This window comes from Homo sapiens, chromosome 1, assembly GCF_000001405.40.
Source record: "Homo sapiens chromosome 1, GRCh38.p14 Primary Assembly".
NCBI classification, from domain to species: domain Eukaryota; kingdom Metazoa; phylum Chordata; class Mammalia; order Primates; family Hominidae; genus Homo; species Homo sapiens.
In genome coordinates this window covers 117596832-117621770 of record NC_000001.11, presented here as the reverse complement: position 1 = coordinate 117621770, position 24939 = coordinate 117596832, and the positions used below count along the sequence as shown (strand labels likewise).

General features: G+C 44.3%; 1 protein-coding gene and 1 long non-coding RNA gene across 2 annotated transcripts in view, besides 4 other annotated features; one reads left to right on the top strand and one right to left on the bottom strand.

Moving 5' to 3' along the window:
- Positions 1 to 15723, bottom strand: part of TENT5C (terminal nucleotidyltransferase 5C) — a 22342-nt gene extending 6619 nt beyond the window's left edge. Inside the window, exon 1 of the mRNA NM_017709.4 lies at positions 15618 to 15723. The gene's annotated coding sequence lies outside the window, so the exon portion shown is untranslated. The remainder of the gene's footprint in view (positions 1 to 15617) is intronic.
- Positions 15658 to 15997: a silencer, noted in NCBI's record as "silent region_1242". NCBI's record gives its function as "represses an Ori minimal core promoter by ATAC-STARR-seq in GM12878 lymphoblastoid cells {active_cell/tissue: GM12878}" and the evidence as "EXISTENCE:reporter gene assay evidence [ECO:0000049][PMID:35858748]".
- Positions 15658 to 16408: a biological region, named in NCBI's record as "H3K4me1 hESC enhancer GRCh37_chr1:118147985-118148485".
- Positions 15908 to 16408: an enhancer, noted in NCBI's record as "H3K4me1 hESC enhancer chr1:118147985-118148485 (GRCh37/hg19 assembly coordinates)". NCBI's record gives its function as "activates a minimal SCP1, AML or CMV promoter by ChIP-STARR-seq in primed H9 embryonic stem cells {active_cell/tissue: H9 hESC(primed)}" and the evidence as "EXISTENCE:reporter gene assay evidence [ECO:0000049][PMID:30033119]".
- On the top strand, positions 16001 to 24939 carry TENT5C-DT (TENT5C divergent transcript). Its single transcript, NR_121626.1, has 3 exons — positions 16001 to 16125; positions 16835 to 16982; positions 24777 to 24939. It is a non-coding gene; the product is annotated as a TENT5C divergent transcript (long non-coding RNA).
- Positions 16409 to 16909: an enhancer, noted in NCBI's record as "H3K4me1 hESC enhancer chr1:118147484-118147984 (GRCh37/hg19 assembly coordinates)". NCBI's record gives its function as "activates a minimal SCP1, AML or CMV promoter by ChIP-STARR-seq in primed H9 embryonic stem cells {active_cell/tissue: H9 hESC(primed)}" and the evidence as "EXISTENCE:reporter gene assay evidence [ECO:0000049][PMID:30033119]".

The window sequence follows — 24939 nt, the reverse complement described above, 5'->3', positions numbered from 1 at the left end:
TTGCTAGATGGATGTAAAACCCAGAACAAAGTGTCAAGGCGCTGTCCTCAGATTTCACTGTAAACAGTTTTCCCACCCCCTCCGCCTTTCTGACTTGCTAGACCCACATAAAACCCATCCCAATGACTTCTGCAGTTTCATTGTTTGGAAGCTGCTGTGTTTGAATACACATCGGCATGCATTCTCCTGGGGTTCCAACATGGATTTCTGGCCTTGCACCGGTGCCAGGGATCTCCTATGGTTGTTACTTGGTTGTCAGGGCATTGCTGGGTACATGGAGATGAGCTCTTCAGGCTCTCCCATCAAGAAGAAGGTGAAAATATGAGCTATCAATACAAGGCAGTGTGTTGTGTAGACAACTCCAGTGGTGGAAATAAAATGTAATATAAAAGTAGAAGAAAGGGTGTCCCTGGTTGGGGTGAACAGGAAGGTCACGGAGTTCACTTATGGAGAGGGGACACAAGCCAACAGAAAGACAACATGAGCTGTTGGTTGGGGCCGAGAGGCAGAAAGCAGCGGGCTGAGTATGTGATCACAGCAGGCTCTGCAGGACCAATCTGGGGATGAGCGCTCTATTGCTCGCTACAGAGTACTCGTGGAGGGGAAGACAAAAGTGCCTCTGAACAGCGTTAAAAAGTCCTAGGCTATCTAGATCATCCTACAAAGCACTCCTAGGTTATGGATCCCAAGCAAAATCTGTGACGAATAATGTTTACTGTGACTGGCATTTGGTTTCAAGGCAGATTTGGGATAGTAGAGTTCTCTTTTTGCCATGCCCTTTAAACACTTAGCAGTTCTTTGTGGTCTCCCATGATTAGCACACAGTACATTTGTGTCCACTGTATGTGCCACACCAGTGGTCCCCAACCTTTTTGGTATCAGGAACCAGTTTTGTGGAAGACAATTTTTCCATGGACCTGGAAGAGGGGAATGATAGTTGCAGCATGAACCTGTTCCTGTTTCACCCTCAGATCATCAGGCATTAGAGTCTCATAAGAAGGGCACAACCTAGATCCCTCACATGCTCAGCTCACACTAGGGTTCATACTCCTAGGAGCATCTAATATGCTGCTGATCTGACAGGAGGCAGAGCTCCGGTGGTAATGCTCGCTCACCTGCCACTCATCTCCTGCTGTGCGGCCCAGTTCCTAACAGGCCACGGACTGGTATTGGCCCGTGGTCAGGGGGGTGGGGAACCCTGAGCTACACAATTAAGTTCTAATAATTACAGAAAGTTACGGGGCTGGCTTTACTGTGACCAGAGCTAGACTATGGTTTGGTGGCATGGGTTTTATAGATTTCAGGTATGTTGGTCTACCTGAAGAAATACAACTCACTTGCTAGTGTGAATCACCTGTTGTGCTTTCAAAGCTCATCTTTATGACACAGGCATGAGAAGTCACACGGAAACCAGAGGCTGTAATGCAAGCAGTACTTGAGATACAAGCAACAATTTTTTTAAAATCTCCAGCAAGAACCTCAATAATGTTACAGAGGAGAATAACTGTAGGAATGTATTCTGACTCAAGTCTTTTTTAAAGGAGTTGTTCAAAAAGACGTCATGTAGGATTAAAGTCAGGACAATGCCTACGCTACAATGGTGGTTCTGAACATTAGAGGAGGGACATCTGAGACTAGTGATAGCCTGGAAGCTATGAGCCTTTTTTTTGGTGGGGGGAAGTACACAGGGTTGAGAGTTTTCATATATTTTAAAGTATGTGAACTTCTAGTAGACTCAAAGTTAGAATTTGTTTTAGACAGAATTTGTAAGGTTCATATGGTAGGAGAGGCAGAAACAGCCAGAAAACATTGTGAAAAATAGGAATGATATGCACTAGCCTGTAACAGATATCACAAAACCACAATAATTGAAACAGCATGTTATTGGCCCAAAAAGACAAATCAATGGAACAAAATTTTTTAAATCTAGAAACAAAATCAGATATGTAAAGGGATTTAGTATATAATTAAAGGAGGCATTTCAGAATAGTAAAGTGAAGAAAAACATCTGGATGGTTATCTAAATTATCAAAAAGAAAAAAATGAAGGACTCCCTATTTCATGCCAAACTAAGATCTAGATTGGACAGATCAAAGACTGAATGTAAAAGCATGAAACTCTAAGAGTACTGAGGTGGAAATGCATTTATATATACTTATACAGAGTGGGTAGTTTTTTTTTAAATAAGTCACATAAAATCTAAAAGCCTCAAAAATTGCTATATTTGACTATATAATTCAAAAACACCATAAAGTCAGAAGGCAAAAGTAGGAAAAATATTTGTAACATTAGGCAAAGTACTCATTTCCATAATGAATAAGGAGCTTCAACAAATCAGAAATACCAGAAGAACCCCAACAGAGAAGACACAAAGGACACAAACTACATCTCAAACACCTATTACAGTCACAACCTTACTTAAGAGAGGGGCAGATTAAAACCTCAACGTATCATTTTTATCCATCAAATGGGCAAAGATCACTAAGTCTGATATGTGGGAATCAGACACCCTCTAGTATACTGCTTGTGGGCTCTCTCCGGACACAAGACACTTAATTTTAAGGAGATATACTCTTTGACATAGGGATTCTACTTCTGGTAAGTCTACTTTGAATTATATCCTTAGTATATTTGCAAGTATACACAAAATATTCATTGGAGAATTATTTATAAAGCTATAAGTATTCACCAATAGAAGATGGTTAAATGATCTGATGTGTGTATAAAACAATACAGAAACGCATGCAGTTGTTCCTACAGATTTGAGCATTCAGGGTTTGTTTTCAACAATTCGAGATGACAATTCAAGACAGCTGTTCTTTCTGTATGACTGTGAAATGCTTATCAAGACTCATTAATAGAAAAACAAGTTAATAGCAAAACTGCTAACAGCAAAACTGTTAAAGTCTGTGCTTACACAAGCATATAAAGTCTCTGGAAACATATGCAGGTAGTAGTTTTAGTCTGTACCAAATACTTCCTCTAGTTTAGGGGAAGTAGATTCAAAGTTAGAAGAAGAAAACTTATTTTGTGCCCTTTGAATTTGGAATCTATATATGTATTAGTTGAAGAAAAATTAAAACCTTATGATCCTAAAGCTTCTCCCTTAGGAGCCTTCTATTCACCTGCTGCCTTATTTAACTTCTTCAATCCCCTTTTTCCTTCCCACCCCTCCTCTCTACATTCCACATTCTGCATTCCCACATCCATGTGACAAAATTAAGTACACTTGGAAGCTTCACCTCCAAGATGTAAATGCTGATCTCTACAGATAAGGGGATGAACAGAGGAAGAGAGACTCTTTTCCTTTAGAATGCCTTTCTATCAAGTTTCTACTCATATACTTTTTAAAAAGATGCTCATTAAAAAAAAACCTCAGACTCTCTAATTCATGCAAATCCATCTCCTCTCATCTCATTCTATGTTAACCAAAAGAAATTTTTTTTTTCAGTTTCACAGAATTGCTATTTCTCATTTCAAACATGTAGCTACCCTTGTGATACTGTTAAGTTGGTTGCTGGCTACAGCTGCAAAAACTTTAACAAACACTTTTTTCAGAAATACAATATGCCTGTGGTTAGCATCTTCCATGACAACTTCTTCTCATACATATATGAATATTGGAGTTAAATTCTAGGGGAAAAAGTCTGTATAAAAGCACAGTGTGGGACATGACAAATGCCAAGTCCATGGCGTAGTTTTTCACTTTCTCAATTTACCATGATTTACATAGAGAGGAGTTTAAGCCACTGAAGACACAAATTTAAGCTGAGTTCATACTAAGTGCTTAGCTCATTGGAAGAGCATAAAATAAGTCACTTGTGCCTATTAGAAAGGGATTCTTCATTGTCCCTCACTCGTCCAAACAATTTCAAATACCAAAAGTACATTTTAAAGTTACTTAGACAAACATTGGTATTACTAGAATACATCCAAGTCATAGGCCCTCAGTGTTTAGGTAACACATCAGTGCTTAGTCCAACAGTTTTTAGTTTTAATTAACCACGTTAAATCAACACTGATATAATCCCCATATAAAAGAATCACGTGGAACACACATTCCCAATTCATGAAAGGCCCTGGTTAAAGGCAAATTCTAGTTAGCAGAATTAACAAAATAGAGAACAAATTAATTTGAAGCCTAGTAAATTCAAATTAAAGTGTTTCATTTCCCTTTTACTGTTTGAGAAACAGATTCATTATATTTATACAGTAGAAATGGGGAAAGGTGGAAACCATAATTTGTTCCTGCAGATTTGAGAATTCAGGGTTTGTTTTTGACAATTCAAGATGACCAACTATCTCAGGTACTTTCGTACTCCCTTTTCTTCTATTATCTGACTGCAGTAAAGGTAGAATACACACACTGAAGGGAAAAAAAAAAAAAGAGGTTTGCAGAGATAGCAGCAAAAGAAAGGAAAAAACAAACTAGGCCAGAAGGTTAAACCAAGGTCCCTGAGAAAAAGTTTGATGTCTGATCTAATCATTTCCCACTGCCCAGGACAGAGCTGCTCAACGCAGATTGGTCTGAAAACCTATGTTTGAGCACTGAAAAGAAAAAAAAAAAAGCTATTTCTAGTCCTGCTTCATAGCTTATCTAGATCTCTGGACTAGCCAGTGAACTCCAGAAACACGATGAAAGTGTGAGGAACCCAAGGTGGGCGAGCGGGAGAGGCAGGTGCATGAGCTGGAGGGGAGGTAACTGTGAGCATTTATAACATTTGCACACAGTCAATTCGGTCAAAGCAACATTAATTCTTATTTTGTGCCTGGCATTAGACACAGAAACCGTCCACAAGGTTCTTAGTATGTGTGGAGACATACATCTATCAAGTTAAGGACTGCATATATCTAAGTCTAGGTCTGTGACCTTTAACATGAAAGCTATGGAAGTGATTGTCTAGAAAATTTCAGGAAAATGCTGAGGCTTGAACTGAGGCTCTCAGCTATTGAGGGCTTTCAGCAGTCCAGAGGCAACTAAGTGTTACCTTCTTCTGACCCTCCTGAGGGTTTATGAATACAAAAGAAAATCAAACACATTTCAGCCTTCCTTTGGGGACAAATTCTCTTTCACTATTTCTGGATGTTACCTCAAATGTGTGGTTCTTCCCAGTAAAACTTTCTAACCCAAGGTAAGAGCTGGAATCTTGGGCAATGCGCCAAGCCTGGTGACAGACTCCAAGAGAAGTGTGTACCTGGAACAAAGACACCTGTGGGCCCTGGCTCCTGGCCAACAGGGGACCCGTGCACCTGTGGCTCTTCCCACACATCTTCCACACAAACTCCTCCCCCGTGTACAAGAGGACACTTTAGACAAAAAGAGACCATTCCATTACATATGAAAACCTAGAGAACATAAGCAGAAATAAAAGTGGTGGCAATACACTTCATACTATCCTATCCCACTTCTTCCCTTAACAAGAGTGAATGACAACCACGACTCCAAGTCCATCTCTTCTTTGCTTGTGAAATGAAGGGTGTAGAGGTGTGTGTCAAAGCAAATGAAATAGTACTTAGTATGAGCCACTTCACTTCAATTCCCATCTAATCCTCATAGGAACTCTAAGGAATCTACAACTATCCCTTTTTCACAAATTAAGTAATAAGGTTCAGAAAAGATTAAGCGAATTGACCCCAGGTCCTCAACTGCGAGACTAGTGTCTGGGAACTGCTGACTCCCTTCCACCAAGCTCAAGGTCTGCCATGGTGGATGGGAGGTGGACACGGAGTGACAAGCACATGTCACAACCCACATGTGCACTGGGATCACCAGTTCTCATAGCCATTAAAGTGATCTTTTCTAAAACAGACGTTATTGGTCCTAACAAAAAAGGACACAGCAACCTTCTGTTCACTATGTAACCGTGAGACCTAGTCTTTCCATTGCCCCGTCCCCACCATACACACCAAAGATAGCAAAAAGCTGGAATCAGCCTTTACTCTCTGCTTTTGTGCAGATTCCAGTTAAGCAAAAGATGCCAGGTGGCTTAGAGGTGCCCCCTGCCACAGAGACACCAAGGAAGACAATATATTGCCATAGTGTGTGGGAAATCCCACTTATCAGCGGGGGAGCACATTGTTTCATAACATAAACGTCTGCTTCTGCCCACATCCTTTTCTCTGGCAGGTGCTAATACATGCAGAGCCCTCCAAGGGCTCTTCACATGGCGGCAGCCACAGCCATGGCCAGGGGACACCACATGTGACTAGATGTTTAGCCAGGTACCCTAATGAGCCACCAACTCTTTTACAACATCACAAATAGGCAGTAAAACAGTGCTTTCAGGGCTCTACCTGGATCAATCATTTGATTTCTATAACAACCCATAAAAGAGATACCATTCCTCCTACTCCCCCACTTACAGATGGGAAAACTGGAGAACAAAGAGGATGTGCAAATTGTAAACTGTCCAAGGATGCACTGCTGGTGAGTAGCAGAAATGGAATTTAAGAGTCTTCCTAAAAGGTGGATAGCTTTGGTGGGGCAGGGAGCTTGAAGAAGAGCTGGTTGTGCTTAGATGGTCAGAGGAAGGAGATGACAGTAAGTAGAAAGAAAAGGAAGGAAGGTATAAAGATTTTTAAAAAATAAGATGGTAGGAAAGAAGTTTGGCTAGACCGCTAAGGCCACCTGAGTGAGGTAAGGCCAGATGGCAAATTCTGAAAGCAAGGGAGAAGCATTTAGAACTGAAGTATCTAACAACTGTCAGCATAGAAACTGCAGGCTGGAGCCACCAGAACTGAATGTGATTAAGTGTAGAAATGCTAATCGTTATGCTACTGTTTGTTTTAAAGGAACAATGGCTGGGAGATGAAGGCCTAGGATCCTAACTTCCCAGGGAGCTCCAAGATGCTTGCTACGTTGCAGAACAGTGGTGATTTTAGAGAAACCAAGTCCAGAAGAGAGAGAGAACCCAAGAGTGGAAGGTGCTGCACAGTCGCCTTGCTGAACTAGTAATAAGAGGAAAAATTAATGGCACAGGAGGGAGATTATCAGGAATGGGCTGATCCTGATCCAGAAAACTAAGGCATGCTGCTTTGCTCATGGAATAAAGGAACAATTACTGAGACTCCTCTGATGGCTGGGAGATCAGAGTGTTGATAGGCTGATGAAGCAACAGAACAGGACACTAGCTACAGTCGAGACGGCAACCTTCTCAGATCAAAGAAGCCAATAACCCAACTGGAGCTACAGAGAAATGGCTGATAAATTTGCAGGCAGTGACCAGGACTTAAAGGGCCAGCCCAGGAAGGAGAGCTGGAACAAAACTGAAAGCAGAAAGTCTGGAACGTACACAGGACCTCATGAATGCTGAACCTGAGACTGGACACCGTCACTTCCCCCACCTGCATGTAGTTTGACCCTTGAGATTCTTTCACCCATAAGAAAAGAGCCAGGCGCTTCGAATGACCATGGACCTTGGTCATTTTGCTTGGCATGTGCAGCAGCAGATAACCGGGCAGAAACGAGAAAAACCAGGGTCAACATGGATATGGCCTTCTGAAAAAAATCCTCCTCTCTTACTCCTTGAATTCCTTGGGGGATGAAGGCCAGAAGTTATCTAGGAAGGGTTTGGAGGCAGTCTAAGGAAGGCTTTTGTCTGCCAGCTCCTCCCTAGGGCCAGACCCCCCACATAGGGAGGGGGCCACATTCTGGAGACTCCTCCACAGCCCCAAACACATGAAAGTTACAGATAACAGACACTCGAGTGTTTCATGTACATGGAATAGCAGCTTAGATTATGAATGGCCTGAAGCAATAAAAACAGATAAAATAATGCTTTACTTTTTAAAAGGCCAATAAAATATATCCTATGCTCACTATTTTTCCAAGATGTTATTTTTACAGTTGCCCACTTAAATGCCCGCAACACATTCTACCTGAGTTCAAAGAAGTAACTGCCCCAGGCCACAAAGCTGTGCCCAGAGAAAACATTTCTAAGTCAGTGACGCAACAAACCCCACAGTTGGTCTTTTCTCACTCTCAGCTCCATTGCATTCAGCCAGCGTCTCATTCTATTTTCTTAAGGTTATTATCATCCTCCAGCCATTTACCAATGATGTTTACTAGAGTCAAAAAATGTGGTTAGATTCCCACATGAGCTGTGGAAAGCAGCCCTGGACTGAAACCCAGGCAGGCCACAGAACCAGGCTGTGATCTCCGCTGTTTAAGGGGCCTCCATGAATTCTCACTTCCCACTAAGAAGTGAGAAGCCAACACACAGTCTGAATGGTTATCACTGGGCTCCATCCATAGACACCCACCAACGACAACTCCAAACAGAAAGCTCTTTCCCACCTTTGAAAATAGGATGCTTGGGCAAGTGTGGGTGGAGAGATAACGCTGGAAGAACTAATGCTGTGGCCGCAAAACAGCAAACAGAATCAAAACACTGGCCTAGATATTACAGCAGGGATGCCACACAAGTTCAAGTGTTGAAAGGTATACTCTGACGTGGTTGCAAATGGAAATATTAACAAGGTCAGGACACAGACATCTTCAGATGGAAGCAGGGCATAAAAGCCTTGATTTTTTTCCAAGGTGTCAGCATTAAGTGCTACACACACAACTTGAAATGGAAATAATCCTTGTTGCTACTTGGTAACCACCTTCCCACCATCAACTGCTTCTTTCTAGATCAGAGGTGTTACTGGTCTGAATTCATTTAAAGAGCTCCCCAAAGAGAGCCTGCCTTTCTGTTTTAGAGATTGCCCAGACTGAGAAAAATGAGATGATTCCTAAGGAGGAGACTGCTTACTGTAAGAATGACTCAGCTTACACGTAATCCACAGGGTTTAAGAGCTGACAGCCTCCGGGTTTCATCAAAGGCTGCTTCCACAGGCTACTTTACCATCTAACTCTCCAGCCTACAGCTTTAAACAGTTGTCCAAAAGGAAGACCTCAGTCAGCTAAAAGTCCTGTCTAATCACTAGCAGCTTCCCTGCCCAGGCCTTATCAGGAAAGGGACAAGCAACTCTTAGTTCCTCAAATGCCACCCTTATCATACGTTAGACCATAAACACACCCCATTCACAAGTGTCTAAGTGTGAGCTGACCTCCATTTCAGAGCAGATGCTAATTACGTGCATAGTTCCATCCAGGTTTTTGTTTTGCATGGATCCTTCCCTTAGGAGTTGGCATTCAAGTTGCAGGTTCCGGGCCTCCAGGTACTGCGCATAGCAGCAGCTCATGTTTAGCGTTCATCAAGTAATTAATGTGCTGTCACCAGACAGCTCAAACACTTTGACTTGACTTGAATGTTACTTCCTCTTGCAATTTCACTCAAATTTTAATTGTTGATAAAACTTAATTGTTGATAAACTGAGTCCTGGTCCCCTGCCAGTCTCAGAAGATTTTATCAGCAGTTCCTTGAAATTCTATTGCCTTATGATTATTCTCTAAGAAACTATAAAAAAAAAAAAAAAGAATGAGCACCGGGCTAGGAATCCAACACCATGTGTTTTAGTGTCAAGTCTGACGCACAGTGTGAATGACTGTCAGTAAGTTGGCCATAACTGACTTTCCTTTCACTCTTTCAAAAATGTGCATGCCTACTATGTTTCAAGCACTGCTCCAGGAGCTTGTGATGCACTGGGAAGAAAGAGACAAAGATCCCTGGCCCTGTGGAGCTGATATCCTGCTTCCTACTCTCCTTCCATAACTTTGGGTTGTTAAATCTTGCCTCCCACACATGCAGAATCAGAACTTGAGAGTGAAACATTTTTGCTGATGGTCTAGACTTGTGCTGCCCAATACAGTAGGTACCGCTGTAAATGCTAAAACACATACTGGATATCAAGGTCTCAGTATGATAAAAGGAATGTAAACTATCTCATTTAGATTTTTTATATTGATTACATACTGAAATGATGAAATTTGATATGGTAGATTAAATACACTTATTAAAATGAATTTCACTTTTTTTTGATACAGGGTCTCACCCTATTGCCAAGGCTGCAGTGCCGTGGTTCGATGGCAGCTCACTGCAGCCTTGACTTCCTGGGCTCAAGCAATTCTCCTGCCTCAGCCTCCTGAGTAGCTGGTACCACAGGCACGTGCCACCACACCCAGCTAATTTTTTAAAAAATTGTTTTTATATAGATGGGGTCTTGCTGTGTCATACAGGCTGGTCTGGAACTCCTGGACTCAAGGGATCCTCCTGCCTCAGCCTCCCAAAGTCCTGAGGTTACAGCTGTGAGTCACTGCCCCTGGCCAAATTTCACCTACTTCTACTCTTTAATGGGACTACTAGGAAGTTAATCGTGTCTCTCATATTTTTACTGGAAAGCACTGATCTAATTTATTGTCCTTATTATAATGAAGAAGCTGAAGGCTGAAGAGGTAAAGGCTCTGCCAGGACCAGAGCCCAGGTCTCCCCACAGCTAAAGTCAGCCTCAGAAGCAGAGGAGGTAAAAAGATGACAAACAGCCTGGGCACAGGAGATAGCAGCGGTGCTAGCTCTAGCTGAGCAGCTGTGAGCAAGCCTCTAGACACATATCAGGCACTTGATGAGTGTACGCGTCATCTCTGCTTCTGGATCAGTCCTCTTTCTGCTACTGCTGTGCTGCAGTTATTCCACAGGAATGACGATTGAAACTGCCCAAGTCCATATAGCACTGGCTAGCTGTGGAGATCCTAATGCCCATCTCTAACTACGACGAGCAGAGGGCAACGATGGACAGAGTGTGTTTGGGGATCAGGGGCAAGCAGCCAGGAAAGGTGGAGGGTTACCTCTTCTATCTTCATAAGGGCTAAACAAGTTGAGAGATGCTTACGGCAACGGAAGAGGGTGTGGGCAGTTGCAGTTTCATGGATAATTTTCTTCTCAAAATGTTTTTATAGGAGGCTAAGTATGGTAACAGTATGGGACTTTGTGCTTATTCAATCAAAGATAAAAATTTAAGAACTAGAAAAGAAGGTAGAAGGAAGAACTGTAAGAAAGTATTGGCCGGGCATGGTGGCTCACACCTGTAATCCCAGCATTTTGAGAGGCTGAGGCAGGCAGATCACGAGGTCAAGAGACCAAGACCATCATGGCCAACATGGTGAAACCCCATCTCTACTAAAAATACAAAAAATTAGCTGGGTGTGGTGGTGTGCACCTGTAGTCCCAGCTATTCAGGAGGCTGAGGTAGGAGGATCGCTTGAACCCACGAGGTGGAGGTTGCAGTGAGCAGAGATCGTGCTACTGCACTCCAGCCTGGCGACAGAGTAAGACTCCGTCTCAAAAGAACAAACAACAACAAAGTATTAATGAATCGAGGTGTGAAAAGAGCGGGTCCCCAGATGGAATAATGTCAGTCAGAAGCCTGTGGGAAGGGCCTGAAGCTGGATTCAAAGTTTGGTGAGAAAGGAGTATCATTCCTTTGTGCAGATATGAGTATCTGTTCTGTGAGGCAAAGAAGGGCAGTTAGGGAGACTCTGCCATGGGGGGTGGAGGGTGGGTCAAGAGTAAAGAGTCAGAAAGGCACGGTCTTGAAGAGGAGGTTCAGCTTCCAGAGGTGCAGGCAGTCCCTGTGCGCTTGGATGGAGTTCCAAATGCACAGACTGTAGAACTAGCCAGAGGCAGGGGAGGCGGACTCACTTACTGCCCTCATCAAGTTCCTGTCTACGGGCCCCTAAACCAGGTCAGTGATGACAGTGGGAAACAATAAAAAAGAGAAAGAATCAGCAGAACTAGCAACTGAGTGAACAGAGAGAGAGAAAAGGCTGAGTGAGCCATGTGAGGCTGGTGTCAGGGAGGGTGGGAAGGATGGCAAGTGCTTAAGGGAGTGGGTCTGGAGCTCAGCTTGAGGAGTTTCAGCTGTTGGTCAATTAGCTAGTCACTGCCCCTCAGCTCCAAACCTATACCCCTGTGGCCTCTACTTAAAAGAGGACTCAGCCATTGGCCTGCCTGCCTCGGTCCACCAAGAGAACTCCCACTTCAAGTACGCCTCCCTCTTTGCAAGCCGCCAACCGAACATGTATCCAAATGACAGAACACCTTCTGTGTGCCAGGCCAGCTCTATAAGCAGGCACTGGGGAGTCAGCAGTGAGCACAGATTCCGCTTTCCGGCGCTCATATGCCAGTGGCTGAGACTAATGAGAGAAATCGGAGTGCCTCGACTGCATGATAAAGCCAGCCCAGCTCCTCTCGCATCCAGAGCTCTTCCAAAGGCATTTCCAAACACCACTGCCTTGGCGTCCTCAGCACCTGGCACTAGCTACTGCCTAGGAAGCACTTAACTACTTACTGACTCAATCACGGTTCTCCAAGAAATAAACAACACTCCATGCAGTTTTGTGACCAAGACTCCAAGACTTTAGTCTCAAGCTCCGACACTAAAAAACATCCTACAGGGAGAGAGTTGCTTAACATCAGCAATTATTTTTTCATATTTTTTTTCTGTTGTTCCAAGAAGTTTTCAAACAGTTCTAGAACAGACTGTGGGGGCCAGCTGTACAAAATCTATTAATTCTGAACAATTCTTAAGGCTTCCTTACCTAGTTGAACTATATAAAGATGCTTCCTCTAAACTATTTGAATTCCAAATGCAAGCCTCTTTATGCGGCCTGCAATGAAAGCGTAAAAACGTTTTGAGAGATCTTATGGCCTGAAAACATCACAAGAAATCAGCAGTACTAATGTACCCAAGCAGCTTTAAACACATGAACATTTCTTTAAACACAGAGGTGTCTGCTTCATTGTAATACAATTTATGCCATTTTAATGTACTATAGTCAAAACACCAAGATGGCAGGAAGCATTTTCCTACAGTGCCTTGTTTACCTCAATGACAACACAAAAAGCAACAGACCTTATCTAACCCAAGTAATGTTTTATTCCAAGTAACCTCACATTCCACATTACTCCTTAACTCCTAAACACACACACATGCACACAAAATAGCAGATACACCCAGAGACAGGTGTGAAACCAAGAAACCCCAAAACATAAGTTTAGCTTAACTCATGAAACTAGTTTTGGGCTTCCACGACTTCTCTCAGTAATGCAAAAAAAAAAAAAAAAGGTTCAACTCATCCACTGAGAGCCTTTGGGTTTCCATTTCTTTAGTAGGTAACTCCATGAACACAACATTGATCAGAGACAAAAGATGAAGACAAGGTCCTATGTACTTGAGCAGTAAAAACAACAAAAAAAGTTTTTTAAATGAAGTTTTTAAATTTTCTATCAAATGTGTCTGGTTAATGGTACTGTGAAAACAAGAGCACTACAGCCCACTTTTAAGTTATTTTTACTGCTGCACTGTTCCTTGGACTTTCAGAAATATGAGGAATTCTGTTCTCTGACCGGCAGCGCAAGATGTGCATGATCTGCCCTGGCCTTGAACACGGGGGAATGTGGGCTGAATGTGTGCACTATGGGGAGATACAGCTGAGGGGGGACGGGCCTCTGGAACTCGGGAGATTTCAGTGGCTACTTGTGCTCACGGTACAAGAGAAGAAACCAGGTAGAGATAGCCACAGGTGCACAACTAAGTCATGCTCACTCTGACAAGCAGGCTAAGAGCCAAATCCTTTCCTTCAGAATTACATGAATTTAATCCCTGGATACAAGGTAGGTATTGTGGAAAAAACAGCGTAAGAAATATGGCTGTTAATTCTATGTGCTCACTGAAGCTGCTTATGAAATTAGGGATCTTTGTTTTGGTAACAATTTAGAGGCCTCCTGGCAGAGTTTTTTTTTTTTTTTAAACTTTGTTATGGGAGCCCCCTACCCCCGCATAGCTACCTGAACAATTATATACAATATACCAAAATCTTCCTAAAAACTCTTTATTGAGAATATATGTACTCTAAAGCTATGGGTATACCTTAAGAGAAAAAGTTCATTATCTGAAATAAACTAAGCTTGACTCCAGAGATCATTTTCCATCTTCACAAACAAGAATGTCAAAGGACAGAACCCCTGCAGCCCAGCTCAGAGGTTTCCCTAAAAGCCCAGAGAAAAGTCAGCATTCTTTACTCCCCATCCCCCTCCCCCTTTTCCACTGCAGGGCCTAACGTGGCTGGTCTCACACCCTCAATAATACCCTTGGGGATTTAAGACAGTAAAATTCTGGGTAAGCTCTCCTACCACTCTTGCGGCTGCCCAACTTACTTCCTGGGCTCATTTCCTTGCCAATTTACTCACGTTGAAAGGTTGCTGTCGCCAACAACGGTCACCCTCTTTCCTGCACGCAGAGGGCAGCTGAGCCAGCCAGAAGTGTACTTTGGGAGGATCTAATCACCCTAACTTTATTTCCTGGGCTGGTTCAGTCTCCTAACCCACCTACAAAGTAACCTGAAGACCAAGTTGTCACAATACAAATAATTATGCACATAGTATTTATAAAAGCTTTCTTACTATAAGTGCATTTTAAGCACTTCATTTGTATGCACTTTATATCTCCGTAAGAAAGCAAAAATGTTAAAAAGGAAGCAGGCCCCTACTTAATTAAGCCAGGGAACTGGTTAGAGCCCTACAAAAGCCTACCTATGGACAAAAAAGGGCGAAGGGGAAGGGAGCTGACACTATCCCTCCCGCAGGGTCCAGCCCTAATAGTGGGTTCTCCAGAAGCTCGCCAGGCATTCATTTCTCCAGGGGAGCGCCCTTACTTGGAGGTAGCGCTGCTTGGTTTTCTCGCCCGCCAGCGTTGAGTTCAGGTGTGCAGGCTACCAACCTGTATTCTTCAGGTAAGTCACCCTCCTCTGACTCGCCTCCCACCCTGCTCCCTCCTGCCTCGCGACCAGTGCGAAGGGAGTCCCCGAACTGCGACACCTCCCGGGGCAGCCGCACCGGTATCCGTCCGAGTCGACCCACTTGCCGTGGCTTTTCACCTACGCAGTAAAGCAAGTTTCATTTTCAAAAGGAGAGGAAGCAGGTTTCACAGACACCGCATTCCCAAGAAGTTTCTGAGAGACGCGCAGCGCACAAGTCACTGGCTTGGATCCCTTTGCTGCTCATGGTGTCCACAGTCTGATGTGAGCGCATTAAATTTAAGGATCTCCGCCCTTCTCCTTAAAACTCAGGACTTGGCAATGAGCCTAGGAAGCGCCCCTCCCCTCCCCAACCAGATCCAAGCCCCGGACCGCTGCGTCTCCAGCTGCGCCTAGTGAAACCGCCGAATTCGAATTCACACTCGGCGGGCCGGCGAAGGTGTGCGCGCCCGCGGGAGCGCCGGGGCGAGCCCGAGGGACTGCAAGCCAGGAAGGGAGGCATGGGTGGCGGGGGGCGCCGTCTGATCCAGGTAGGAGCGGAGGCGCCGATCACACACTCTTCAGACGCCCTGCCCGCGCCTGGCCAGCGCGCAGCCTGCAGGACGCGCGGAGCAGGAACTCGCTGGAGTTTGCCAAGCCCCAGGTCTCTGGAAAGTTGTAGCTCCCTTTCGGAGCGTCTCTTCTGGCCCTTTGGGACGGGTGTGTCAGGGGCGGGGGTCCTCGAGGGAGCAGGAGGGGAAAGGAGCACCGGGTCTCGGCACCTGTCCGCAGCTCCCCTCGGGTCCGCCTGCCCCCTACCAGGCTGGGCAAAGACCTGAGCACCACTTAGTGGGGGCGGACCCCCACTAAGTGAGCTCGCGGCTCCCTGGGGCTGCTGCCGCATCGCCGCACCTTTAGAGGAGGGGGGTCGCGGACTCACCTGGGCAATAGAAGAGGAGGCGACAGAGGCAGGTCCTTGGCGTGGGCAGGCCCCAGCAGGAGCGGCGCGACCTCTACAGCCCCTAGGCAGCGGCACCGAGTGAGCCGTCCCGCCGCCGCCCCCTCCGTTCTTATACGGCGGGACCACGCCCCCGTCCCCGCCCCTGAGCCGCCCTCCCGGGGGAGCCAGGGGCGGGGCGTGGCGGAGCCAGTCCCCTCGGGACCCTTCCGCCCGGCCCTGACGGCAGGGGCGGGGCGAGGGCTGCCCTCTGATTGGCTCTTCGGGTGAATGGTTGCCAAGAGACGAGTAAATCCTCAGCGGCGGGAAGGGGCGGGGTGCTCAGGGAGGCAGCACTGCGCAAGCGCAATAGAGGGGGCTGCGTCGACACCCACTTAACTTCGGAGTTAGTGGGACACCTTTCTTTTTGCTTAGTACGCTTTTCTGCTATTCCTGCCGCATAACTCTCTCTTCCCCAGGCTTTTCCCATCTCCATCCTATTCTCTCGCAGGCAGGTTTTTCTTCCGCCTCTCTGGGGATTTTCGCGTTGGTTCTCCCTGCCCCCAGGAGTGAGGCGGGTAACGCCCACGCCTACCTCCGGTGTGTGTTTTTGAAGTCGGAAAAAACTTAATGGTTTCTGGGCCCTGGGCACCTTTCTGATTCCCCAAGCAAACTGGCTGGAGGCGAAGGCGTGGTCTTCGGGGAGAGAGCGCCGGCGGCTCTCTGGCCCCGGGGACCACCTGTGTGCAGTTAGTGGGACGAAGGGCCTCGGGGAGTCCATCGCCAATGTCGGCAGCCGCAGCCGCTTCGGCCCCATTCGGAATGCCACAGCACTTGGTCCAGTGTGTTATATAACATGCAGGCAGGGCTTGGACACCATCCATTCATAACATAGCGAGTGGTTTACAGCCCAGGTTCTGAATTCAGACTAATCTGAGTTGAGATCTCCATGCACCACTTAAACTTTCTGTAAGGCCTTAGGCAAGTAACTGAACCAACCCTCCAACAACCTGCGTCTCCTATCTGTAGGACAAGACTAACAATGGGACAGCTCTGTAGAATTATATAAGTATTAAGAAAATACGTGGGAAACAATTAGTGCATTGCCTAGTGCCTGTTAGAAAGTGTGTGGCAAATGCTGTATGTATCAGATAGTAGCCAATGTTGGACAATGTTATTTATCAATAGACATTATTGTACTTGTATTGATCGTTTACTAGGTGCTGGGGGAAAAGATTACTTCCCAGATGCAGTATTTACATCTCCTCCGCCCTACTCTTCCAACCCTGCCTGAAATAAGTGTGGTTCTCCTGTCTGTCAGACTATGAAGAGTTCTCAAATATGTCTTTCCCAGCGAGGGAGAGGAGAGTGAGTATCCAGGAACTTTAATGCGATAGGACATCAATATGAGTGTTTATAGGGAAAGCCAGTGATCCTATTGTTAGACGCGAAATCAAGACATATGATCTGATTTTTTGTTTTACTTTTTGTTTTTGAGGTATAACATTCAGTAAAGCGCACAAATCAAAAGTGTCCAGAATGATAATTTTTTACATATGCATACCCATGTAACTGCCATCCATATCAAGATGTGGAACCTTTCCAGCTCATTCATGCCCCTTCCCATTCAGTATCCGACAAGGATTACCACTATTTTAACCTCTATCACCATAGATTAGTTTTACCAATATTTGAACTTGCTATGGATGAAATACATAACACGTACAATTTTATGTCTGGCTTCTCTTGCCCAACAGTGCGTCTATGAGATTCATCCATATTGTTGTGTGTAACAATGGTCCATTCTTTTTCACTACTGTGTATTACTTCATTATATAAATATTCAACGATTTGTGTACTCATCCTACTGTTGGTGGACATTTGAGTTGCTTCATGTTTCTGCCTTTGATGAAGCTGCTGCAGACATTCTTACACATGTCTTTTGGTGGACATAGCATTCATTTATGTTGGATATATATATATACCTAGGATTGGATTCCTGGTTCATAGAGTGTTCACATATTAAACTTTAAATACACTGCCAGTTTTTAAATTCGTATAACAATTTAGGTTCCAACCAGTGATATGAGATTTCCGGTTGTTTCACATCTTTGCCAGTATTGGTATTTTCAGTCTTTTTAATTTAAAAAGGGGGGGGATATGTATTTCATTGTGATTTAAAATTGCATTTTTTGATGATCAAGGATGTTGAGCAATTTTTCAGATGCTTATTGTTCATTTCAATACCCTTTTAATAAAGTGTCTGTTCAAGTCTTTCGCTCATTTGTAGGGAGTTGTCTGTCCTAATGACCTATAAGAGTTCTTTACATATTCTGAATATGAGCCCTTTGTCCAATATATGTATAACAAATATCTTTTCCCAATCTGTGTTGACTTTTAATTATTCTAATGTTATCTTTTGATGAACAGAAGCACTTAATTTTAAAGACATTCAAAATATTAATCTTATCTCTTATGACTAGTGTTTTGTATGTCCTGTTTAAAATAATCCTAAGCCCATAAAAATAATATTCTTTGTTTTCTTCTAAGAACTTCATTGTTTTAACTTTCACTATCTGTAATAAGGCCTTGGGCAAGTAACTCAACCATCCTTCCATAAACTTCCAACCACAATAAAGTTAATGCAAATTATTACATTGGCCTTTCAACCATTTCTACTCTTTCAGTGCCTCTTGGAAACCATTAGTACAGTTAGTCTCAAGGTAGAACACAGGACAGAAATTCTTAACCTAAAATTTGACCCAGCATGGTTTAGTTCCACCTTTTCCTGGGTGAAATTTTATTCAACTTCCTGAATAAAATTAGGCAATTCTATGGTAGGTGAGAGGTGAGAGCTAAGAGCAGAAAAGAAACTCACTATATATGAGTTTCTCAAATATATATACATGTATATATATATTTTTTTCTTGGGCCCCTTTGTATTCCTGATGCATTAATGGACTTTTCTAGAATTGTGTTTCAGGGTTGTTTTTTTTTTTTTTTTTTTAAATACACTGTGTTCTTTCTGCCTCATAAAACTGGCATCCTGGAGCTGGCAGGAGTCTTAGAAAGTGGCCAAGTTCTGCCCGTTGGACACGGAACCAGATATTCAAACTCTTCTTCCTAGATTATTGGTGCCTTCTTCTTGCCAAATTCCAGCCCCTGCTGAGCACATCCAATCAGAATGGTTTAAAGACCTTCTTTGCATTCTGAATGATTCACTGGATTCACTGATTTATACCTAGGGAAACCGAGGGACAAAACAGTCTTTAAAATGCAAGCGTACCTCACTTGTAGTGATGATCCTGAAAGAGTTTTACGTCTCAATAGATTCTGATTTTAATACTTCAGAAAAACAAAGAAATTCCACCATAGTCCTACTGTAAGTCAAGAAAGACCTTTTGTATAGTGTCTAGTTATCTCCTGATCTATCAGTTTCTTTGAGCAATTTCTTAAGTCTTGAGTTTTTTGTAATAAAAACATTACAAATGTTTATTCAAATGCCCCCATCTAAATATTTTATTTTTCTTAAAATGATTTTTATGTGAAGTTCTTGTCCACATTTAACATACATGTAGAGAAGTACACAGCTCATAAGAGCACAGCTCAATGAATTTTCACAAACGGAATGAACCTGTGTTGCTAGCATACAGATCAAGAAACAAAGGAACATCAAAGCATTTGTGGACATATTTTATTTTATTTATTTTTTTTTATTTTTTTATTTTATTTGGTCTTTTTTCATGATATGTGTATCAGCAGTTCTTTCTTTTTTTATATATACTTGAAGTTTTAGGGTACATGTGCACAACGTGCAGGTTAGTTACATATTTTAAAACCATCACAGTGGCATTGTGTACATCCTAGTGAGTTTCTGGTGGGGCAAAGACATGACTTGGCTTTTCAATTCCCACCTACAACTCTCACCAGTAAATCTCTCTCTCCTCTCTGGCTCCTGCAGCCCAATATTTTTCTCGGGTGTTGCAGAAAGAGACCTGGGTTTGGAATAAAATGGTGTAAGTTTTATTTGGAGCAAAGTCCAGAAGTAATGGAACCTAGAGCTGGTCATATTTGGTGGGACAGGAAGAGAGGAAGGGGCTGCATCTTCAGGCATGGCTGTAGCAGCAGGCTCAAGTACAGCATGGCAGCAGAGGCACTGCCACCAGAGCAGCATGAAGGGGTAAAGTAGGGATCCAGAAGGGGGATGGTGGTGACAGTGGCAGTGCCAGGGAAAAGACGATGCCAAATATAAGCAGTGCTGACTTTATCCCTCCAATCTAGGTGTCTCTAAACTCCTTTCCTGCCCACCCCACTAGCAGTATGTCCCTGGAGAAAGGATGTAGGCTTGAGTCAGATGGCAGGCAATCCTTTTTTCAGGCAAGGTGAAACCTTAGACAAATGGCTTAACATCTCTGAGTCTGAGCTTCCTAATCCAAAAAATGGAAATGCTAACAGCAATTAGCCTACCTGCTTCATGGGGTTGTATGCTGATCAAATGAAGTAATGATACATATGAAAGCAGTCACCCCATTCACAAGATGTGTCTCGTTGCCAACCTCGTACCCCTTTCTCATTTCACTGTCAGGACACCTTGGGAAGCAAGTCAGATGAGAACAGAAAAGGGTAGATTCTGAATACCTTGCTGTGGCTACCATCACTTCTAGAGCCCCAGATTTCTTATCTAAGGATTAACATTTTTTCAAATCTCCCTTCTGGGAAAAGGGATTTCATAAAAATGCAAATTGTGAATGGATTATTTCATTATATCTCATGACCAACCACTGGGTCCACTCTGAGCTTGCCTTATATTTAGGCCCAGGATGTCTTTCCTACCATCCTGCCAGAATGCCTGAAGCTCCCAGCACTGGAGTCCATTCCTGTTGGGGAAGAGATTCTGGTCATTCCCACATAGCTTGCCAGAGGAAGAATACGGCCGACTGCCAGGGATGGCGAACTCCCCTAACACGTGTCATTCTCAGTGTTCAGACATTGGTCTTCCAGTCCTCATATCAGTCTTGATTCTTAGTTGTAAGCACTCAAAAATGACTCTGGCTGATCTAAGCAAAATGGAATTTATTTCAAAGATATTGGTGAGCCCACAGAATTAGCAGAATGCTGGAGAACTTGGCCAATTGGCTCTGCTACCAGAAACAAGGTTGAAAAATCATACTGTGGAACTGGCCCAGGAAAACACCATGAAGGACATAGGCAGCCTTGCCACTCCTGCCTCTGGAAACTGGATGTAATTGTCTCTGCCACCATACTGTCACCTGTAGATAGTCAGAGTCTCTGTGAACCTGTGTCCCTGCTTCTTCCCATCACTGGTTTCTGATTCGAACCCAGAGTGGGTGGGATTCTCTCAAATCAGCAAAGACCAGATGGTATGGCCAAGCCCTGGCTTGGCTGCAAAGAAGGCTGGTGAACAGATCATCTGATATTTTGAGCTTTAACTCTGGGAAGTAGACTTTGCCTCTTAAAGGTAGAGGATACTCCAAACAGAGGAAGGAGGTTCAGATGCTGGATGGCCAGAATACGCACATCTCCCTTCCAGCCTTCCGCCACGGTCTCTTGTGAGCATTGCCTAAACAAATCGGCATTATTTAATCCAGCTAGCTGTGGGACACAGATGCAGTCAGGATTCCGAAACCTCTGCATCTGAGGGCCAGAAAAATGGACTCTTGGGAAGCTTCTAGGAGGAACACCATCCAGCTGACCTCGCCCTGCCAATACTTTCTGCTTTTGGCCAGGTGACACTTTTCTTCTTTAGAATTCCTAGAATAGGCACTCAGTGAATATCTGATGGGGAAAAAAAGAAAAAAAAAAGAAAGGAAAGAAAAAGAGGCCTTGGGTAACCACCCCTCCCTCAGGTCCCGGGATCCATCCCTGGCTCTGTGTGATATGGTTCACTTCACTGCTGTGGGCCTCAGTTTCCCCATCTGTTAAAAAAAAAAAAAAAAAAAAGACCCAGCCTGGCTAGCCTGCAGTGCCTCCGGCTCCAGCAGTGAGCGTCAAGGAGCTAAAGGGTGTGGGGCTGTCCCGCCCACGGTGCTTCATGGGGTTGGCTGCACATAATGACAGTGTCCCAGAGCTGGCGCTTGTGTAACAGGCAGATTTACCGAGAGGGGACGACTGTTTGCTCAGCAGCCGAGAAGTCTATAATTAGACTGTCACAACATCAGCAAAAGTACAGGATCAATGTAATCAGAGAAGAAATGGAAAATAACACGGCATCAGTAAAGTCCTCCAGTGGTTCCCCATGGTTTCCGGAGCACTAATCACCCAGGCGAGGTTCAATGTCCCGCTTGTGGGTTTCCTCCTGGGTGATGACCAGGTTGGTTTAGGCCTACTCTGCCTGCCCCTCTCAGCAGCCTGGTTCTCCTCCTCCTCTCTCCCTTCTCCACTCCCTCTGCTCACTGAGTCTTAGCGATGAGGGGCCAAAAGAAACAGGACTTGCACCCCAAACTCTGTAGCCCAAGCACCTCTATTCCTCATGATGTGTGTGGTGGGAGGAGAGGGGAGGGAGGAGAACCAGTCGCTTTAAAATGCAGATTCCAGGGCCTCATCTCAGCCCTATTGAATCAGAACCTCTGGGGGAAGAGCCCTCGTCTCTGCATCCTCAGACGATTCTATGCATGCTAAAGCTTGGACACTGCCAGGCTAAGCCACCCTCCTGCTGGTGATAGACTCTCCCTCTTGTGTCTATTCTGTACCTGGTGTAGTTAGAGCACAGTCAGGCTGCAGCAAGATTCAGGGCAACCCAGGTTAAAGGGCCTTCCCAAAGTCAGGGAATGATAATGGGCTGCTTATTTCCTTTCTAATCACATTAAGAATTCTAAGGTGCCAACATGTTCCTCTCACTAATCCTCATGGCCTCTGAGCCAGGGGTAGTGTCTGGTGTCATTAGTTTCTTTCCACCAAAGTAGATCTGGGCTCAGATCTGTCCCCAAAGGACTGGATCTGAGGGCTTCTAGTCTCCCCTGAGTCTGATCCTCATAGAAACTGTTCTTTAAATCTGTGAACTTTTGCTTTATTTCTTAAAAAAATTTTACATAAATATTATCAGATTATTTATGTAATCAGATATTGCAGAGAAGCAAAAGGAAGAGATAAATCATGACTAACCCCACAGCAACTGTTCTGTTAATATGTTGGTGTTCATCCATCCACACGTGTGTGTGTGTGTGCACTCACACTCACACTCAGACTCACACATTCTATTCCTGTCTCAGTCAGGGTCTCCGAGGAAACGAAGGGCACACACTGAAACGGGATTGAGGAGAGCTAGTTGGGGCAAGGTTAACGGAAACCTTAAGGCATGGGTGGCCCCATAGGACTGACAACCAGTGGGGAACCATTTCCACCTAGGCCTGATGGGATGAGAGAAGAGAAGTTACCAGAACTGGGGAGACTCACTGCAGCTCCGGGGAGCTGCCGCCTTAGGTTGAAGATTGTGGTCACCCTTAATCTGCTCCCAGCAGGGAGGGAGCCAGAGGAGGAACACCTGAACTCTTCTTGCCCTCTGACTGCCTGTGTGTGCCTCCCACTGGCAGAACCCAACCAGGAGTCAGCCTCCAGAGACCCCGCGGAGTTAGAATGTTGTCTAGAGAGGGTGTGGATAGCCAAATGGAGACAGTCTCAGTGCGCTTCTTATGTGTGTTTATGAGTTTCCAATACAGTAAACAATAATGGAAGTAACTTAGATTTTAAAAACTCTTTGTATTCTCAGTAATTGTTAAGAGTATAAAGGGGTCTGACGACCAAAATGTTTGAGAACCATTGCACCACTCTTTTCCTGTGGGGTTTCAGAGCAGGAGGATCCTATTAGATTATGGGATCAAACTGATTGTCACTAATTCCCTTGCCTAAATCATAGATGAATACGAAGCAGTTTCTACATTAGAAAACTACAGAGTCTGCAGGAACATGGAGAAGTCATCTGGCCCTTTTTTCTTGGTTTTGGGGAGGGTGACTCCAAGTGGGCTGTGGGCTTCCCTTCCCCTGGCTGCCTCGTGGGCTTGCTGGTGGCCAGGATGGCCCTGCCAGTCTTGTCCAAGACCCCTGGGCCAAGCCCACATCAGGTCAGGGTTGGAAATCTTCCAAGGAAATTGAGAGTATCTAGTTTGCCTCTTTAAAGACCACAACAGTAATATTTATCCTCTCATTTGTGATGGAGACTGAAGTTTATGGTTTTGCATTTTTCAGTAGAAGAGTATAATTTTGATTATTTGTCAAGAATTACAAACATGCTTGTAATATGCCCTAGTTTTTTCAGTCTATGAAATAAGAAGTAAATAATAGCAATTTGCTTTTTAGTGGTAGATACTGGGAGTTGTAACAAATGAATTTTAGACACCCCTAGGGAAAGGCTGGAGTAGGATACTACGTAGGGTATAAAATAATTGGTGTTCCTTACTTAAGAGAGAAAAATAGGAAAATGTATGTCATGGGCACTCTAGGCTGGTGCCCAGCATCCATGTTTCCTTCCCTAATTGGGGATCCAGTTAGCCGCTTGAGTAGAATTGACACCGCCAGCCCCAGGGCTGGGTCCTCACTGGCCTAAGCCCATCAGTGTAATTCCATCGCCCTGTGATCATTCAAGGATGAGCAGGTATCTCATGCCTGCACTCAGTGGTTGGAGAAAGAGAAGCAGAGAGCATTCATCTTGTCTGGGCAGGATGCTGGAATGGCTGTGTTGTTTTGCTGCCCTGAGAAAAGCCAGAGTATGATGAATTCTACACACTGGCAAGGGCAGAACCAAAAACTCAAGGACAACCAAGCCAGGAGACCATACTGCCCCCAGCCTCTCATCTTCCAGAAGCCCACAGCTCAGCTCCTTATAAGTGTTTAAGCCAACTCAATTATATTTTCTGATGCTTAGCAACCAAGAGTGTCTGATATAATTAAATATATTTTCCAATTCAAATACTATCAGGGAAAAAGTGGGACTTTGATGTTGACCCAAGAAAAACTGTCAAATCTGACCAATTAAGGACAACCCTGATTTTACATCATCAACACTGAAGCTGACCTCCCAAATGATGTCTTCTTTGACTTAAAGTCCCCCTACTTGACCTTCTACATAGGCATTTCCTGTAACGATTTTGTTTTTCTTTCCAAATAAACTCTCCCTCCCTGTTTTACTGTGCGGTGACGAAGCAACAGAAACTTCAGCCTCCACGATCGATGTTTCTCAAGTGTCAAGGAAAATGGAGCCTAGGAGGGCAGCCCCACAAGCAGCGTGATGGGCATTTAAGCCGACGCATGTGCCAGGTCCTAGAACAGAGTAACTTCCCCATCTCAACACAATAAAATGGTGATATGAGAA